The sequence below is a fragment of the Homo sapiens genome, chromosome 5, assembly GCF_000001405.40.
Source record: "Homo sapiens chromosome 5, GRCh38.p14 Primary Assembly".
NCBI lineage: Eukaryota > Metazoa > Chordata > Mammalia > Primates > Hominidae > Homo > Homo sapiens.
Window position 1 is genome coordinate 137,445,309 of NC_000005.10, and position 20,562 is coordinate 137,465,870.

At 41.5% G+C, this 20,562-nt stretch overlaps 1 protein-coding gene across 1 annotated transcript in view, besides 1 other annotated feature; it reads right to left on the bottom strand.

Annotated features, from left to right (window-relative positions):
• The window catches only part of SPOCK1 (SPARC (osteonectin), cwcv and kazal like domains proteoglycan 1), a 524,029-nt gene that overhangs the window by 470,011 nt on the left and 33,456 nt on the right, over window positions 1-20,562 (bottom strand). The window lies entirely within an intron of this gene.
• Window positions 8,299-8,499: a silencer, noted in NCBI's record as "peak5485 fragment used in MPRA reporter construct". NCBI's record gives its function as "represses an SCP1 promoter by STARR-seq MPRAs in K562 erythroleukemia cells {active_cell/tissue: K562}" and the evidence as "EXISTENCE:reporter gene assay evidence [ECO:0000049][PMID:32103011]".

A 20,562-nucleotide genomic window follows, 5' to 3' on the forward strand; every position in this document is an offset into this window, starting at 1 on the left:
CAAAATGCTATTCACATTGCATTAGGAAGCTGCATTTTATTTGTGATCATACTTTTCCTTCAACCCTATGAATGGTCTACTTAAATTCAGTACAGCCAGATTGAGAAGAGAAAAAAAATTTTAAAACTCCCTTCCATGTGCTGGGCACTCAGAGGCAACAGGGAGGCTTGGGAAGCTTACAATCTCACAAGAAGTAATGTACAAGGTCCCTGAAGAGTATCATACAAGTGTAAATGAGGAAAGGGAAGAGGGAGTCAAAGTTGAATGCAAACATTATTTCCCAAGAAAGGTTAATTCAAGGATGATTTTTGTCATGTTATAGAAGAACTCTTCCATTTTCAAAATGATTTAATCCAGCAATCCTCTAATAGCCAGCTCCTTGGAAGCATTAAGTTCAGAAGTTGACTTTGGCACAGAAGCACTTATCTGGGGTAAAGAGAAGGCAACTGACATAGGACTTCAGACATGGTCTGAAGAATTTATAAACGGTATAGCCACTTCTCACTGCTAGCAGACTGGACATACAATCACTTCAAGCTAATAGATATATTATGCTCTAAAATGAATGGTATTCAGATCCCTGGAACTAGATATAGTTTTCTAAATTCCAAGGGGGTGCATCAAGAAATAGAGCACAAAATACAAACTGTGACCTAAGACTGATTCCAGCTTTGCCATTAAACACTTTCCTAATCAGGGCCCCAAATTCCTCCCCTATAAAAAAAGGAAGTTGAAATTAAAGCTCTCAGAAATCCCTTCCAGCACTAAAATTCTATGCTCTACATTAAATTATATATATGCAGGCTCCACAATATCCCTTTGGACTTAAATGTCACACCAAAAAACAGTGCCAGGCATTTATTAACAATAAAAATTCAAATGATATGGAAAAATAATTACATTTTATCTTTTGGGGAGACAGAAGCACCCAAAGACTTTTTTCCTGCTGTACCTTGTAAAAATCGTTAACAGCAGAGTCACTGCAATTAAACCAAACCTAATGATGCAACTAATCAATGCAGCTGCAGAAAATGACAGAGTTTGGATCTCCAGAGAGCTGTTGGGCCAGGAAGAAACAGATTATAGATGCTAAGAGACAGGAAGAGTAGACACCCACCACAGCAGTGGCCCAGAGGCAAAGGCAGTCTTCCCTTTGGTCTCAGCAGGATCCCACAGGTGAGAGATCCCAGAACAAGTCTAACCTGGATTCTGAGGAATTCCCATAGGAGGAAGGTATGTGAGATGCACAGTATGAGAAAATTGGGAAGGTGCCCGCACCATGGAAAAGACAAGACGGGCACAAGTCAACATGGCTTAGAAACTAGAAACGCGATGATTCTTTTTATTGTGATTTTTAAAACAGAACAAAAAATTTACCATTGTAAATTTTTAAGTTTACAGTTCACTACTGTTAAGTATATTCACATTGTTGTGCAACCAATCACCAGAAATTTTTCATCTTGCAAAACTGAAACCCTATACTCATTAAACTATACCCCATTTCCCTTCCCTGCAGCTCTTGGCAACGACCATCCTACTTTCTGTTTCTATGCGTTTGACTACTTTAGATACTGCATAAAGTGGAATTATACTGTAGTTGTCTTTTTGTGACTGGATTATTTCATTTAGCTTTATGTCTTCAACTTCCATCCATGTTGTAACATGTGATAGAATGTCCTTGCCTTTAAAGCTGAAAAGGATTCCACTTGTATGTATACACCACATTTTCTTTACCCATTAATCCATCAGTGCACTCTTGGATTGTTTCCACTTCTTGGCTGTTGTTGTTAATGCTGCTATGAATATGGGTGTACAGATATGGAGATAATTCTTATAAGTAGATTCTCATAAGCAGAAATGTCTGTTTTGAACAACAGGTCAGCCTAATGTTTTTCATTGTTTCCTAATATAAATTATTGCTCCTTCTTGCCTAACGTGGAGAAAAGGAGGGCAACAGCTGACAAAGCCCTTCACCAGCAGAGGAGAAGAGTGTCCACACTAAAGGACTGTCGTGTGTGCTACATAACGAATGCCCCTGAATACACAGAGGAGACCATGACCTAGTCACAGGGATGTAGCTGTTCCCCAAACCAGTGGTCCTCTACTAGTTCTGTTTCTGTCTGAGGAGACTTTCTCAAATATCTAGAAAAATCTTAATTAAAATAGGTACACTGTGACAAAAAGCTACTGGCAAATCAGAAGTGTTTTGAAATAAATCGGTATTATATTACACTCAATCACACACAAGTAAAAAGCAAAGCTTGGCAAACACATGGATTTACCAACTTGAAATCATTCCCCCCCCCAATATATGACCCACACCACCACCATACCTACCACCTCTCCCAGGGGTCTGAGAGCCAGAAGTGGGGAACGCCTCCCTAAACCATCCCTACTCACCTGTTCAGGCATCTGTAAACCTATCACCATACCTATAAGAGAAATGACTAGGATTCAATCTATGCCTGCAAGAAAATCCCTAAATAAATTTAATCCACCTCTATAAAGCCAGCCAAAAACATCAGCAACCTCGAGGTAGGTGATATAATCCGGCTATATTCAAAAGCCCAGGGGCTTGATGCCTGGCTTTCCATAATATTACCATTCAGTCTCTAACATCAAATAGGCATTAAGCATTGGTATTAAAAAATAAATACAGCCAGGCACAGTGGTTCATGCCTGTAATCCCAGCACTTTGGGAGGCCAAGGTGGACAGATTGCCTGAGGTCAGCAGTTCGAGACCAGACTGGCCACCATGGTGAAACCCCATCTCTACTAAAAATACAAAAATTAGCCGGGCTTGGTGGCAGGCACCTGTAATCCCAGCTACTCAGGAGGCTAAAGCAGGAGAATCGCTTGAACCCTAGAGGCAGAGGTTGCAGTGAGCCAAGATCGTGCCATTGCACTCCAGCCTGGGTGACAAGAACAAGACTTCATCTCAAAAAAAATTTTTTTAATTAAAATTAAATACATACCCACTCGCTGTTATCTCAGTAAGAACCACACCTCACCTCATGTTTGTACTAGAGAGGGCACACAATCTGAGAGCAAGTTAGGGTCCATCCTCCTTCTACCAAACATCATCTGATTAGAAACCTGGTGGTTTCTTTGGGGCTCTTAGACTAGGGAGGACTGGACAGAATTCTACTGTGAAGTGCAACCCCAGAGATCCCCAAACACCTACAGATGCCACCTGACTCCCTGTGTGCCTGGGCTACAGCGGCCAGGACTCAATGATTTCTTTTCATTAGGTATAGCCACTAAATGGAATTCAAATACAGGTAAGAATGTATGAGTGACAAATAATCAGATTTTTTTAACTTTACAGTAAAATTTCCTTGAACTTGCATTTGCAAACAGCAGCATATCAAAGACATTTTTCCCCATCAATCAATTTGAATCATTCATTCAGAATTAATTCAATGATGATTTCAAACTCCAAACATCAGGTTCTCCGTTGTTTCATCTTTCTCAGAGTTAGCAGACACTTTGTACAGAGACATCCTGCACTTGGCACCTGCTCCACTTTCTGTGCCCTCCCAACTTTCCTCCTCCCGTGGGGCAGGGCCCTATCAGAAAAGCCCTGCCTGAGAGAAGAAGGTCTGCCCTTCAGTAGGAATCTGGCCTGACACCTGATTTCCACGGAGTTGTCAGTGGGGTGCCAGGGAAGTGAGACAGCACTCTTCGTTCAGGTGTCACTTCTCTTCCACAATCTTCCAGTGATCTCCCTACCCTCAGGCCCTGCTTCAAGGCATCAGAACTGCTAAGAAGCCAGGAAGGAGATGCTTGGCTTCAGCCCCCAGGACAGTTGCAGGACCAGGTGCCCTGGCACTCTTTCCAGCCTGCTGGCTGGTCACAATCGCAAAGTAGAAAATGATTTCTTCTCAACTGACCCAAGGGCCCAATACCTTCTGCCCAGTGCAACAAAAAGAGAGATAGTCTCCTTGACCAGACACAGGCAATCCTGGACCATGTGTCAGGAACATGTACCACCTACACAATAACTTTGACTCAAAAACATCCTCTGCTCTACCCCACCTCTCTCCTCTCAGCCTAAATAAAATAACCAGTTAGTTTCCTCAGAAAGTAGTTTTAACATTAGCTCTGCTACAACTGTGTTTTTTCAGTCTTAAGCAGTTCTGATTGTCTGTGTTTCCATGGCCAGCAAAGAGAGGCAGCATCACAGAGATGGGCTCTGCCAAGTAGATACTGTCAAATTTTAGAGCCTCTTGCCTCTCTAAGTCCCAGTTTCCTTATCTGTAAAATGAGGCAAAACCCATGTCTAAGATTAAACAAGGAGCCTGGCACAGTGGCTCATACCTGTAATCCCTGTACTTACGGAGGCCGAAGTAGGAGGATGGCTTGAGCCCAGGAGTTCCAGATCAGTCTAGGTATCACAGTGGAACCCCATCTCTATGAAAAATAAAATAAAATAAAATAGCCAGGTGTAGTGGCAGATGCCTGTAGTCCCAGCTACTAAGGAGGCTGAGGTAGGAGGATCACTTGAGCCCAGGCTGTAGTGAGCTATGATCATAGCCACTGCACTCTGGCCTGGGCAACAAAGTGAGATGCTGTCTCAAAAAAAAAAAAAAAAAAAAAAAAAAAAAAAGAAAGAAAGAAAAAGAAAGAAAGGAAACAAAATAAAAGGTAAATAAGAAACAAATGAAATAATTTTTTAAAATTAAACAAGGTGGCATTCATAAAAAAAAACTCTATAGAAGAGTGTGTCCAAACACACATGGTAGATACCTCCCAAAAAGGGCAGGATCTTCTTTCCTCAATGCAAAAAAGCCCAGGGAATCTTCAAGCTATAGCCTTGGGGGAGTGAGATGTTGAGGTGGGGAAGGGCAAGAAGATTGAGGACCTTTCTTCTCAACTTTAATAGTTTTCACTCAAATTGCAATTGATGACAACCATCAGAGGACTTGTGTCTCCACACCTGTTCTAGGGAATTTATCACCTTTGGTAATGATAGGTGTTAACCCACTGGGATAGAGTGGGTTCAGTTCCACTCAAAGACTGCTGTGATTCTTGTCCTTTTCAGCCCTGGTCACCACTCTGTGGCATCCTGCACCAGTGCATGCAAATCTGCTCTGAGTTTTCACTTGAGCATTCCAAAAATGGGGGCAGGTGCATCTCCCCAGGAAAGGTGTGGGGTGTACATGCATCTCAGCACCTCCAGCTCAATCAGGGCTGACTTCATGGGTGTGTGACCTGCGCATTCACATAGGGCCCATGCTTAGAAGGGCCATGCTCTGCTATTGCCATCTTGAAATTCTTAGTAATTTTTTAACAAGAGGCCTCATATTTTACTTTTCTCCAGGCCCTGAAAATTATGTAGACAGTCCTTAGCTCCGAACTTCACAACAATATTCAGCTTCTTTCAAAACTGTTCTCCCTCTTTTTTCCTGATAATGGCACCATTATCTCTCCTATTACCTGGGCTTGAAGTCATAGGCTCTCTCCCCTCACTAGCCCTCTGCATCTGAAAGCTGCTAGATGCTGCCAATTCTATCTCCATGCTGCATCCGTGTCATCCCATCCATTCTCACTGTGGCTGCTCCACCTCTCTCACCCAAACTATTAAAATACCCTCCCGACCAGTGTTCCCTCTTCCAAACTCCTCCACAGCTCATCTTCCCTGCCCACCCATGCCAGGCAAATTTCACCAAGGCAAGAGCAATCATGGCATTCTCCTGCTCAAAGCTCCTCAGTCTCTCTCAGTGTAGCAGTTCAGTTGCTCTGAAGCCACTGATAATCCCCGCACCTGGCCCAGTCTAGGAACAGACCCACCCTACCCAGGACTCAAACTTTTCAGGTAAGCCACAGGCCACAGGGTAGATCACCTCTCCCTCCTTGATCCTTAGTCTAAAACAGAACAGTTTTCCCCTTCTTAGGTAATGCCATTCTTATTATACTCCATGCTCCCGGCAGCCAGGAGCCATGCTTGATCATTCCATCTCTGCTTACCCCCAAACACTCCTGCACAACGCAGAATGTTTTTCAAAGTGACTGTCACAATACACAGTTTCTCCCAATGTTGCCCCAAGCTCACGTTTCAGCCTTAGCAGGGATGAACTCAATGCAATCACAGTGCTATTTACAATGTATTCAATTTTGCAGGACACCTGTCACTTCCTTTTCTTCTTTTTTTAGTGACAATAAACACCAACAGAAGAATTACATTAAGCATAAACAGACTCTTGAAATCTACCTCAAAGTAATATGAAAGATCTGCACTAATCCAGCTAATGTGCTTTCCCTGCAACACCACGTAAACCCAGCTCTCATTTGAATATTTAACAAGCAACATCTTGGTAAATCTCATTCCCTTGATCTATGTAGAAATAAAAAATGGATTTAGCCCATTCAGATTGTGTTTGGTCCTGCACATACATTTTATGCCTCCACTTGAAATCTTAATCCTATTGCAGCACACTAATTCTGGCTTGTATAAGATGCTGCCAGCAGAATCCATTGATTTGCTTCACCCATTTACATTTGTATCCTTCAGCCAGTCCTGTAACGTTTTAGCTCAGTAAGTAAGCATGTATATTTTTGAGTTCTACAAATTAGGGTAATTTTAGACCCTAAAGGTTGAGTTTCCCTTATCTAAAATGCTTGGGACCAGTAGTGTTTTAGATTTTGGATTTTTTCCATATTTTGCAATACATGCATTATATACTGACCTTGGTTAAACATCTCAAATTTGAAAATCCAAAATGCCCCAATGAGCATTTCCTTTGAGCATCAGGTTGATGGCCAAAAAGTTTTGGATTTTCCAGTGTTTCAGATTTTGGATTTGGGATGTTCAATCTGTATAACAACTACATACTTTAGACCACTAACCATGTAGAAAACCTTGAAAGTATGTTTTGTAAAACAAGCCAAAATTTAACTATTTACATTCGTGGTATATAACTTCACCATCACATGCCGTGTGTTTTGTATCAAAATGATATGATTAGATGAGCTTTTTTGCCAATGAAATGTATTTTTATACCAATTCTGCTGGCTTGTTGCTGTACATACTAAGAAAATATGAAAATGGAGTGTTTTGCCAAGTCATTATGAAGCCGTCATTTTGAAAGGGCGGGGCTTACTGAATCCCAAATTATTTAGTTATCTTTTTCCCCATTTGCATTGACTATTACCTACTGCCACCTGGTAAAAGAAAAAAAGTGAATCTGATTCAAGGTTTATAACATAGTAGTTTTGAAAGAACTCATCTTTTTAATTTGAATGTGTCTAACAGACATCCTAAAAATTGAGATTGTAATGTGCATAGGTGACATGTCTCATCTAATACCTCATGTAATAATTCTTGTGAGAAAATAAACAACAAAAACAAATCCCAAAGCATAGTTATGACTACAATGGTACTTGTATTTTTATTACTTGCATTTCAAATGCAAAAGCTATAGTTTCCCTTTTGCTTATGTGGCATCCTTGGCACATGGGCAGTTATCTATCCTATGTCTGTTTCCTCCACTGCTCTATCAGCTCTATGAGGGCCCAGATGTAAATTCTCAAGAAATATACATTAAATCCAATATCGCTTTTGGTCCTGGTGCTAGTATCAAAGCGGCAGAGCTACCTGGGTGGAGAAAAAAGCACTCTCTTGTTTCCTAAGAATTTTCTAGGGCACTAGCACCCTAAGAATCCAGGACACCTTCAAGTCCATGAATCTGAGTTTTAGAAAAAGAGAAGATGAATGTTACTTGACTTTTAAGTCTTTTTCCACTTTATCATGTTCTTCACCTCATTCAAACCAAAGGCAAATATTAGAGAGCTGTGTTTTCTCCAAATGTCACAACTAGTAGGTTTGCTTAGAAAAAATAAGGCACGCTTCTGAAATAAAACTAAAAACCAGAGCCCACTTGGTCCTTCCAGAAAGTGATTATGAAATTCGCTGTCAATGCTAATGGTACCAGAAGTACATCTCAAACTCCCTGATTCCACTAAAAAGCAGTGCAGGAAATTCAGAGTAAGAAGCTGCTTCATATACACCTCTCATTAAAAATAATTGTCAATTCCCTGTGTGCTCTCTGTGATACTCTTGGGTAGCTACAGGAAAGAAAAAATGAAAACACGAGCTTTATCTACCAAAAACAGCCCAGTAGTAAGAAATTCTTCCAATGTCTAAGACCAAGAAAACTTGGGCCCAAAATATCAAGGCACTGAAAGCTAAAACCATTATTTTGGCTCAATCTAGTGAAACAATTGTCCGCAATTTTCTATTTCATTCAGTATGGCAAAGCCCAGCCACGGGAATCTAGAGCGCTAATTTCAGGGAGCAAAAGGTTTCATTCCATCCAAGGCTGCACTCTTGTTCAAGAATAGTTTTCTTAATAAGCCTATCAGCACCACGGACAGTTCCAATTAGCATTGCTGAGATACATATTACCACTGCCCCATAGGTATCTATGCCACAATAGTGATGCAATTTAAGGGGTAGAGCGAGACATGATCAAGGTGTCCTTGTGTGTTTCTTATTGCCCTGTTCTGTGGGGGTACAGGGGGTGCAGAAAATTAAAAGTAAATGAAAAATCAAGGTCTTAGAGGTCTAATGTGATTGTAGTGGAGTCCCCTTATTCCCTGGGTTTCACTTCTCCAAACTAAATTTAGCTGTTTGTGCATGGATAAATGCAAATGCATGCCATGCTCCCTAAGGACAAACATTATGATGTACAAGGATGTCACTATCAAGAATAAAAGACGGATACTACTTGGGATCAGGAAAAAAAAAAGAAAAGTAAGATTTCAGAGTCCATATATTGTATTCAAGAATAGCATTGGTGAGAATAGTGAAGATAAATCTCTACAGGATAAAATAGAATTGTTGTCTCTGTTAGTGTAGCCCAGCTCATATAACTTAAGGTGGCTCATCTAACTAGCAAAACCTGGGCCTAGATGGGTATTAATGAGCTCAACAACAGACAGAAAGCCAGACTTAAGAGGACAGCCACCCCTACACCAACTCTGGCAACCACAGGGTGGGTTATAAGTCAACTGCAAGGATCTCCCCCAAAATACCTAGAAGAATGGGAAACACATTCGGAGGATCACTGAGCTCCTGCTTAAGGTGGCTCAATAACATTCACATGAAAGAGCATTTAAAATCTCTTTTACATAACCAAAAGACCCTAAAGGAAAGGCCATATTCCTATAAATCCATACAAGTCCCTCAAAATCTGCTGAGGCTGGAGGGGAGGGGGGAACAATGAGATATAACTTGCTAAGGTAATGAAGTGAGTCCCCTAGAAGAATTCAAAATTATTTATTCCAGCAATGTTTGAGAGAGGCTCACAGTGATTTGTATTCTCATTCAAAAATAGATATTGATTCCTCTATGGAAGGATAAATAAACATTAAAGTTACATGATTGGCATGATGAGAATGTTTTCCCTTAATTTTGTTTTGGCAAAGGACAATGAAACCCCTTGAACAATTAATCACAATTGTTGAATCACAGCAATAAATGACAGCTCTTATACAATCCAAGACCAAGAATGCTGTCAAATCATATATATGCAAAAGGGGAGTTGCTTTTAGATGCCAGCTTTTTGGAAAGCTGTCATGCATAATTTGGAACATTTGAATATGAAGCATATATCTATCTATCTGTTCCATTGTTTTTTACCAAGAAAAAATAATACATGAGAAAATGGTCTCTCTTTTCCAAAGTAAATGTATCACCAAATAAGACCTCCATTGTCTTAATGGGTAAGTTTCTCCAGATACATGTTCAATTCTCAAACCTTTGGGTTATCAGTTCACTTAGCTAGGAACTGTGGAGAAATGGTGCCACATTTTGAGGCTGTAACAAGACTTTGTACCTTACACAAGAGAATGCACCCATTTATCATTGGGATAATATTACTTCACTTTCATCTTCATGAGCATGTTTCCTTGATGGATCTGGGTCTATTCACAAATACCACCTTATCTTAAGGACAATAAAGTTATCTGAGGCCAGAAAAGGTGGAGGGACTTGCCCGGAGTCCCACAGTAACTCATCAAGAAGGAAAGATCCTTCTTTACAGACGGTTTTGTTTCCAGGGCACACTGTAGGCACCAGGCTGCCTGAATCAAACTAAGATAGTTTCTCTCAGAATATCGAGCATGTCTCCTAGGAGACAGGGCCCAGGCTGGCCTAACAGGGTATATGAGAAGAATAGCTGCTTCTTGGAGCCTAAATAAAGACAATTCTAAAGAGACAGCAGCCAGTCAAAGTCATAGCCCTGAGATGGCCTGGAATAATAGCAACCATTTACCATGGGAATCTGTGCTGATGTGGTCTATAGTAACAGGTTGCTTCTTGTCTCTAATACCTGCAGCACTGGGGATCTGACACACTTAGAGGATCTTCTCTTAAAATGGAATCATTCCTTCCTGTCAGCCACCAGCTTTCTTCATGGCTTAAGATTCAGAGACTTCCTGGGCACAGTGGCTCACACCTGTAATCCCAGCACTTTGAGAGGTCGAGGTGGGAGGATCGCTTGAGCCCAAAAGTTCTAGACCAGCCTAGGCAACATAACAAAACTCCACCTCTGCAAAAAGTAGAAATAAAAAAAAATTAGCTGGGTGTAGTGGTGCACACCTAGCTACACGGGAGGTGAAGCAGAAGGATCACTTGAGCCCAAGGATCCAAGGGTACAGTGAGCTATGATCACACCACTGCACTCCAGCTTGGGCAACAGAGTAAGACCCTATCTCTAAAATGGAGGAGGAAGAAGAAAAAAGGAGGAGAAGGAAGAAAGAAGAAAAAGCAGGAGGAGGAGGAAAAGAATTCAGAGACTAATTTCTTTTCCCAGTCCAATTTAATAAGTGAGACTGCTCATATGAGGGTCCACAGCCTGAATCTGAGAAACTTCTGTAGCTGTCCACAGTGTTTAATTATCACCGCCCCTCAGTTGCTTCTCCTATTTCTCAGGAGATTCCTGCTCGATCCAGTGCTCACAGCTTTCCTTTGGACAGGAGGAGAAACAGGATTCTGTATTATTACAAAACTAACATAACCAATAACTCATGTGTCATAATTCATGGAGCTGTTTGTACATACTTTTAATACTTATAAATACAATGATTTCTTCTCTCCTCTTGGCAAACTGAGAAGAAATGTGCCCTTTATAACTTCTAATTCTCTAACTATATTAAATGCTAAAGAATCTTGGTAATTCCTGATCCCAGATTGTATATTTATATCCAACGACCCAAGGGTGTTTTTGACCCATCAGCTTAATTAGAATTTTTGATGTATTTATTCAGTCAATGAACACTTACTAAACGATATTATGTTCTGTCACAATTATCACCACTGGGAATGTATATGAAAGGAGAAAGTCTTTGTCCTCAAGGAGGTAATAATGAATGATGAAGGAAAGAACCCATAACCAGTAAAATGATTGTCTATAGGGACTATGACAGAAGTCTGTAATGGATACCGTGGTAGACTGAAACAATAACTAGTCACCTAGAACCAATGGGAAATTTATATAAATTTTATCTATGAAACTATAATCATGATACCAAACAGACTACTTCAATACAAGATAGCTTGACACCTACAGAAGAAATTCATTGTTAATACACACTACCAACTACTATACCTCTGCTAGTGGGTATATTAACCTTTGTTTCAAGAAACTATTCAGTAAATCTGAAGTAAGTCTGCAAGTTGTTTGGCCAACTCATGTTTTCCAATAGTTATCCTACTTAATGGTCTGGGGCTCTCAGTTTAGCTTGATATTCAGTAGAGAATAAATTGAAATTTGAAAGCAACTCATCAGATAGATAAATCACTAGCTAAGATGAGGCTTCACTATCAAGAAGAAGGAGTTTCACATATGGCTGGTTTTGAGCAGAAACCCACACATACACAGATACCTGCAGAGGTCCTTATAAATTTTTCAGAGGAAGATCAAAGAGAAAATAGACACGAATGGGTTGGATCAGAATGATATAAAGTGGAAGCAGTGCCAGTATGGATTAGAATTTAGATAAAGTCTATCCATGCAGGATGAGTCTGAGCAGAATACAATATTCCTAGGCTTGAGGAGACTGATGAATAATATCAGTGTGGGGCAGTGGGAGAGCATGAGCAGCTTTCAGACTCAACGTCACTTTTCGAGATTTTTGTTTTCACCACGCCAAGAATCATGGAGCCTTTCAAATCTCATACTCTGGATTGACTATTCCTTCTAGACAAGGCTGCTACATTAGGCTGCACAAGCAGGACAGTACTTGTGCAAAGATGCCCCTGGAGGTATGCAGTGTGGCAGTCCTCTTTCAATGAGATAAGCTAATAAGGATGTGTTGGGGTTTTAAATCAGTAATTCAACTAGCCTTGTTTGAGTACCAACTATGTGCCAAATAGCGTGAAAGACATTGGAGATGCAAAGATTAAAAAGCACTGAGCCTACCTTCACAGAATTACTACATTCCTTTTATTTCAACAAGAACATATTGGCTTGTCTAATCATCCCAGAGGGGAAAAAAGGGGAATTTGTTCCTCGAACAAGGTAACTCTCCTTCAGTTTTAAACAAAGTGGGAGCTGCATATGGGGGATAAACCAAAGGATACAAAATGAGAAAACCCACAGAAATGACTCAATTCTGTTTTGTGGTTATTAAAAATAAAGAAAACAGTGGCAGCCAGTGCACTGCTAGGAAATACAAGCAGGGACTTAAAGGAATGTTGAGGTGTCTTTTAAAGAGAGGTGGTTTCTTTATGGACGACAACATCATCATTCCAGTAAGCTCTCGTTCTAGGTTAGGCTGGACTCTTCTTGGTAAGTCAGAAAAGCACATTTCAGAAGGAACAGGCTATGGGAGAGACGACCTGGTGAAGAACCCACATAAATAGACACCAGTGTCACTTTCTTGTGACATATGTTTAAGACATAGGACTGGCCAGCAAATGCTCCTGAAGACATCACAAGCTTTGCTCATCATTTCCAAACCTGGGTCCATAATCAGGTTCTCTTGACCAGCTAGGAAGGGTCTTAGAAACAAAACAAAACAAAAGAAAAAGCCAAGAGTTGACACTATTTTCTAAATTTTCTACAATAAACATATGTTACTATTGTTTTTGTAATAAGAGAAACAAATTTTTAAAATACAGAAAGTATTAAATACTGCCTGGGGCAACATCTTTAGCCCCTAGATGCCTTAACTTTGCAAAATAATTCACTCTTCCTGAGAAAGTCAGTGAATCTTGACCTTCACTCAAGCTTTTATGGTAAGATATGGTAAAAACTCATGTGCTACTAAATTTAAGAAACATTACTGTTCAATTATCCCATTTTGCTCCAACGAAATTTCTCCTAGAGTAAGGGTTCCATTTCTTGTTTGTTCGTTTTTTTTAGCTTTTACCAATAAAGGCAAGAAAACATCTAACATTCTTGGGTGTATCACATTGTCCCTTTGAGAAAACACATGTGCTCTGTGGGCAAAAGGGAAGCACTTGAGCATCAAATGACAATACACAGATTAGACCCTCAGCTAAAATAAAATACTATAGAAATACTCATGTCAAAATAAATACTAGAAGCAACTGTTCTGGGGTGGTTTTATCATCTTCTAAGCCCATAAAGATGGGCCACCAATTTGGATGTGCTAAGTTGGAATGATTTTACCAACAGGGAAACAGAGAATATACACAAGAAGGAAAGTCTGTCTGTATCTTACCATTTCCCAGTGAAGGTGCACACACAATTCCATGTGGTCAGGTGGTCCAGTGAGTGAGGCTGGCAGCCCAAGTCCAATGCCCTATATCGAGTGAGTGTGTTGGTGACTACATGTTGAACCAGACAGGGCCTGCTCTTGCTCAAACTGAGTGGGTGAGGATGTACGTGTCGTGTAGTCTTCTGCGAGCTAAAAACAAGACCTATTATTGAATTCAAGAGCAGGGGAAGCATCCTCAAGTCTGAGACAAAGAACATTTATCAAATCAATGCCAGAAGCAACAAAGCAGTCCCTGTGACCAGGTCCACCTATCTCCAGAGCTGACCTTCCCCCTCAAACAAAAATAGGCAACTCCCAACTCCAAGCCTTAGGGGAACTTTCCCATCAATGAAGAGGTGGTTCCAAGAGCAGAATGTCCTTGCCTTCTACAAACAGAGAGAGGCTAATGAAAGGCTTTTTTTTTTTTTTAATTCATTGCTCACAGCTGGAGTTGCGGGGAATTATTTCAGCCAGGGACTTCTTTTGGAAACTATCTGAAGAGCTGACCGGAACACCAAGAAATTTAAGCAATGCTACTCCATCTTTCCGGACTATTTCATGGGGAATATACTCCCACCCTGACCTGAAGGAGGTGCATGTGGTTTCCAGCTTGTTCACAGATTCTCACCATCTCTGAGGCTTTTCTCGACACCATCAATAAACCAAGTGCCCTGCGCTCCAGGAGCTGACGGTACACTGGAGGAGATAAAAAGGTAAAATAACTACATGGTGAGGCCATTACAGACAAAGACTGTAAGCACTAGAGCCATTCAGAGGTATATGAAAGATACTCATGAATTAAAGCAACTGGGGAAGGCTGCCCAGAGGGGCAGGTTTGGAACTGGAAATTGAAGGTGTTCCTGGAGTGCTAGGATAATGGAAAAGGTATGCTAGGAGAAGGGGCTTGGCATGTACAGATGCAGACAGGATAGTGGCATTTACACATTGTGGGTAAACATGTACAGTATGGGAAAGAATCTGTGTAGGAGAAGTATGAGCGAGAAGGATGGGGCAGTAAGTAGGACTAAATGGTAAAGGGCCTTGAAATCCAAGCTAAGAGGTGTGGATTCAATTCACTGAATTGAATTAGTTTTTAAAGCATCTGAGCAGGTACATTTAAGGAAAATATGACAAATATGAATCAGGCAGTGGGATGGTCAGAGTGGTGTAGGCCTGTGCTGGAGAATGAGCAATGGCTCAAGAAGTCTGGGAGATCTGGCTTCTACATCTGCAAGGTGAGGAGTCTACTGACCAGGACTCCTCTGAAAATCTCCGCCCCTGTATGCTTAACAATCTTCACTGCAGGGGAGTAAGCCCTTAGGATATGACGCCTCCAGGGAGACTCTTCCAGGTCAAGGTACGGGATAAGGACCAGCCTGTTTAATGCACTTAGGGAACACAGAAGAGCCAAGGAGTAAAGCTCAGCAGCCGCTCCCTGCCCTCCTCCTCTGCCCCAACCCTACAGGAGACATTGAAGTAAGCTGGTCCAGCAGCCAGCAGATGCAGGCCAGGCTCCAGGATGAATATTGGACAGACAGAGAGGACAATGGTGACTGTCTCTAGCAGAGAGGCAAGTAACATGAAGTTGCAAAGACTCTCCAAGCAAATTCACTCTGAGTTTCTACTTGTTAAACTTGATGAGTAGAGAAGGTGATCTCTAACATCAAATAGAATCCAATTCCTTACACTGATCTACATGGCCCTGTATGATCTACAAAGCTCTACATATCAATTCTACCACACTGCTGCCCATTGAATGTACTCCACACATCCTTCTTTTATTCCTCAAACACACCATATTCATTCCCACCTCTGGGCCTCTGCGTTGCTGCTCCCTCAACCAGAATGCCTCTTCCCAGATCTTAAACCAGCTGCCTCCACTCAACTTTCTACAAGGCCTTCCTGGCTGCTCTTATTTAACTTTTGTGCCCCCAAGGAGGCATATCACATGTATCACATCTCCCTGTCAGGTCTTCCTCTCTGGACGTAGCTCTATCAGAAATTCTAATATATGTACGTGGTTGGTTTGTTGTCTGTGGCCCTATTAGAATATAAAACCCAGGAGAGCGGGGACCTCTTCCGTCTTGCTCAAGTCTGTCTCTCCAGGATCTATAAATGTGCCTGGCACATATTAGTGCTCAATACATTTTTGTTAAATAAATGGAATAATTAATCAGTCCGTGTCTTGGGAGATCCACGAAACTTTACCTCCCTGGGTAGAAAATCTGTTTAAGGGTATGTGATGCTCAAGCAGATCTTAAAGAGACTGCAGCTACAGAGTTTCTAGTTTCTTTTAAACCATCTGCATCCAAGACACTGGCAGCTGGGTATTGTGTATGCTCACATCAAATGGAGGAAAAACCATGGGGAACCAGCTGAACACACAGTCAGTGAGAAAGGATACTTCCAGAAATGTCTTCATTAATGAAGCAGCTTTTGGGGGCAGCCCCTTGAAATGCTGTCAGTGTTGCTAATAAAACTCCCATAACCACGGACTTAAGGGCGGGAGAGACAAGGGTAAGATCACTGGCATTCCACTGTGATTGAAATAAGAGTCTCCTGGAAAGCTTAGGCTGCAAGTCACAGTGTGCTCCAGGGCCTGCATTTTTGTTCTGCCCGTCTCTGGGCTCTAATGAGGCTTTATGAAAAGCAGAGCTGCCTTTTAAGAAAATTTCATCCTAACCTAGAAACAGCAAAATGCAGCCAAGTCTCACTTACTGGTACTAACGAGATAGAGAGACAATAACTGAAACTCAGATAAATCAGAAGTATCTTCCAGCAACCCTCTCTATGATCTAATAATAAAAACTACCCCCATTTCTGTAGCATTTGATTACTCACAAAGCACTTTCACATCCCATTATCTCTTGTGATCCTCAAACTCCCCATGAAGCCAGTGTTAACATCACCAGATGAAGAAACTGAAGCTCAGGAAAACAAGGAGACTCATCCAGAGCCCCAGATAAAAGGCCAAATGAGGACTCAAGCCATGACCCTCTGACTATGCTGAAGGGGTTAACGCCCAACCTGTGCCTGCACCTGCTGGCAGTTAAAGCCTTAAGCGAGAGGAAGTGGGAAGGTCCTGATGGCCCCCTGTGCTTAGCCTCTGGAGGCCACCAGGAGGCCACATCTGGGCAAACCCCACACCCTTACAGCCACTTTATTTTCTTTTATTTTTCACTGATAGAATTTCCCATTGTTTCTAGCATGCACATTTCTCCTTGACAGCCAGGATCCAGAAAGACCCCAAAGGCAGGAACCACATCTGCTTTTCCTCTGGCAGCAGCCAGAGCCTGGAGCTTCCATCCATTCAGGCATTCAGCCCAAAGTTTCACTGCAGCTGGATACAGACAAGGCCATGGCTCACACTCCGAGGTGAGAAAGGTTTCCAAGGTCAGACTAATTCCTGCAAGCCACAGACACTGGGCAGCTGGATCGTGCACTGGCTAAGGGGCAGGTTCGTGGTCAGACTGCCAGGCTTGGAACCCCAGCTCCGCCACTTCTCATCTGTATGACCCAGGGCAAGTTATCTTGCCTGTGCGTTGTTTTCCTTATCTGAAAAAAATGAGGATTATAGTGGTATTGATGACATGGAGCTACTGTGAGTATTAAATGCAAAGCACTTAGAATGGTGTCTAGCATATTAAGCAGGGGCTTAATAAATGTAAGCTATTGTCACTAATTGCTCTTATTTCAGATATAATGCCCTTAAAAGGTTAAGAGAGTCTGCAAAGAAAGGGATGGGGAGAAACATGTCCATGTGTCAGAATGTAGCATGCTGAATAGTATCTCAGAGAGATGAACAAAGAGCCAAATACAAAACCAAAAATTCACTAGAAGGAACAGGGAGGGCTTCACTGAGAACAGCAAGTTCATTCTAGCTTCAACAAGTGCTGATAGTTTCGGTACCATTCAGGGAGTGGAAAAGGATGAGGCTGAAGAGATGAGCAGGAGCCAAATCATTCAGGGGCTTCATGGGCCACAGTAAAAATTTGGAATTAGTCCTGAGGACAACGAGGAGTCATCACTGAAGCATGTTAAGCAGGAATGTAATAAGATCAGATTTAGGTTTCAGAAATATGGAGCTCAAAGCCAGGTCCATATGGAAGGTGGCTTAAAGATGATGTGCTCCACTACTGGGTATATACCCAAAAGAAAGGAAATCAGCATTTTAAAGAGATTCTACACTCCCATGTTTGTTGCAGCACTGTTCACAATAGCCTAGATTTGGAAGCAAACTAAGTGTCCATCAACATGTGGTACATATACACAATGGAGTCCTATTCAGCCATACAAAAGAATGAGATTCTGTCATTTGCAACAACATGGATGGAACTGGAGATCGTTATGTTAAGTGAAATAAGCCAGGCACAGAAAACAAAGACAAACATCACATGTTCTCACTTATTTGTGGGATCTAAAAATCAAAACCATTGAACTAATGGAGATAGAGAGTCGAAAGATAGTTGCCAGAGGCTGGCAAGGGTAGTGGGGGGGTGTTGGGAGGAGGGAGGTGGGGTGGTTACTGGGTGCAAAAAAAAATAGAATAAATAAGACCTAGTATTTGATAGTATAGCAGGGGGACTATAGCCAATAATAAGTTAATTGTACATTTAAAAATAACTAAAAGAGGCCGGGCGTGGTTGCTCATGCCTGTAATCCCAGCACTTTGAGAGGCCAAGGTGGGTGGATCACAAGGTCAGGAGTTTAAGACCAGCTTGGCCAACATGGCAAAACCCCATCTCTACTAAAAATAGAAAAATTAGCTGGACACAGTGGCGTGCACCTGTAGTCCCAGCTACTCCGGAGACTGAGGCAAGAGAATCACTTGAACTCGGGATGCAGAGGTTGGAGCAAGCCAAGATTACACCGCTGCACTCCAGCCTGGGCAACAGAGCAAGATTCCATCTCAAAAAATAAAAAAATAACTAAAAGAATGTAACTGGATTGTTTGTAACACAAAGGATAAATGCTTGAGAGGGCCAGGCATGGCGGCTCATGCCTGTAATCCCAGCACTTTGGGAGGCCAAGGAGGGCAGATCACTTGATCCCAGGAGTTTAAGACTAGCCTGGGAAACATGGCAAAATTCCATCTCTTAAATAAAAATACAAAAATTACCCAAGTATGATGGTGCAGGCCCGTAGTCCCAGCTACTTGTGGGGGCTGAGGCAAGAGAATCACTTGAGCCCAGGAGGTTGAGGCTGCAGTGAGCCATGATCATGCCACTGTACTCCAGCCTTAGTGACAGAGCAAGATCTTGTCTCAAATAAATAAATAAACAAACAAACAAAGGCTTGAAGGGATGGATACTCAATTTTTTGTGATGTGATGATTAAACATTGCATTCCTGTATTAACATATTTCATGTACCCCACAAACATATACACCTACTATATACCCAAAAAATTAAAAATTATAATTTAAAAAAAATTAAGAATATGGAAAAGATAGTGTGGCAAGAAATGGTATGGGCCTAAATTAAGAGACTGACAAGAAGCCAGTGAAGATGGGTTGAGAGCAACTGAGGAGGTCAAATGGACAGGCCTGGGTGGGGTGGGGTGGGGTGGTAGATAGCAACAGCCTGCCAGTCTAGGTGACAGGATGAATGGCAATGCCACTCACCACAATGAGAAGCAAGAGGAAAAGGAGCAGGTCTAGGACAAAGAGGAACTCAGGTCTGCACATGCTGACTGTGGGGTGACAAGGTGGAGGGGCCATCCAAGTGGAGAGGTCGCTGGGCAAAGGAACGAGTGTGTCTTGAACCTAGGAGAATAACCTGGACTGGAGACACGTATTGGAGTGTGAGCATATATGTGGTAGCAGAAACATTCCTAGTGAATTAAATTATCCAGGAGAGATTAGTAAGGTGAAAAGAGGTCTGAGGACAGAACCCTAGAGAATCACCAATATTTAAAGGTTGAGAGAAAGAATATGACTCAGACAAAAAGACAAAGCCAGAGATATCAGAGAGAACGTGCAGAAAACCTTGAGAGAACAACGCTATAGAAGCCACTGGAGAGGAAGGGAGTGCCAGATAACACCAGAGTCCAGGATTCACGACTGAATGAGAAGTAATCAACAAGCACCCACGGCCATCAATTTTGGTTATATTCATAAAATACCTCCACAAGGAAGATATAAGATCGCCAAATAAGTGAACACATTTCTCCAAATTTAGGTTGTTGAAGAGACTACCAAATCAAACACACTTACCAAATCAAACACACTTGTGATCTCACTGAGGTTAGAAAACAACTCTAACATCAGAAAGCTGCCAAAATCATGACAGCTTTAAAAAAATTAAAATCATGACAGCTGAACACCATGGGCAAAGCAAAGCCTTGGAATATAAAATCCAAGTTCCATTCAAATTCCTTCTCATAACAACATTAAGACTAATATATAAGCTTATAATTTCTAAAAATTGTAAACTCGTCTTTTACTGAGAGCCTCAACTTGATTCTTGTTTAGCTGGAAAAGTTCTATTGAACTGTCAGGGATTTTTGCTACTAGATACACAGGCACATCTCTGCAATACAAAGTCTGATCTGAAGCAACATTTCAAATAGTCACACACTCAAGACACATTTCATATCCAACACTTATTTGCAATCTGTGTCTGTATATGCCAGGTTATTTGGCAATCACTCAAAATTAATCTATTTAGGTAAGCAATTATCATGCAACCCTACAGTACTTAAGAAGTTGCCAAAAATCAATTCTGAGGCAAGAGATATAGAATCACACCAAAGAATAGAAAAACAGACAACAAGAGTCTTGGTCTTCCAAGATTTCTAACAAAGAACATATATTCCAGAATCCAGGGCTCAGAA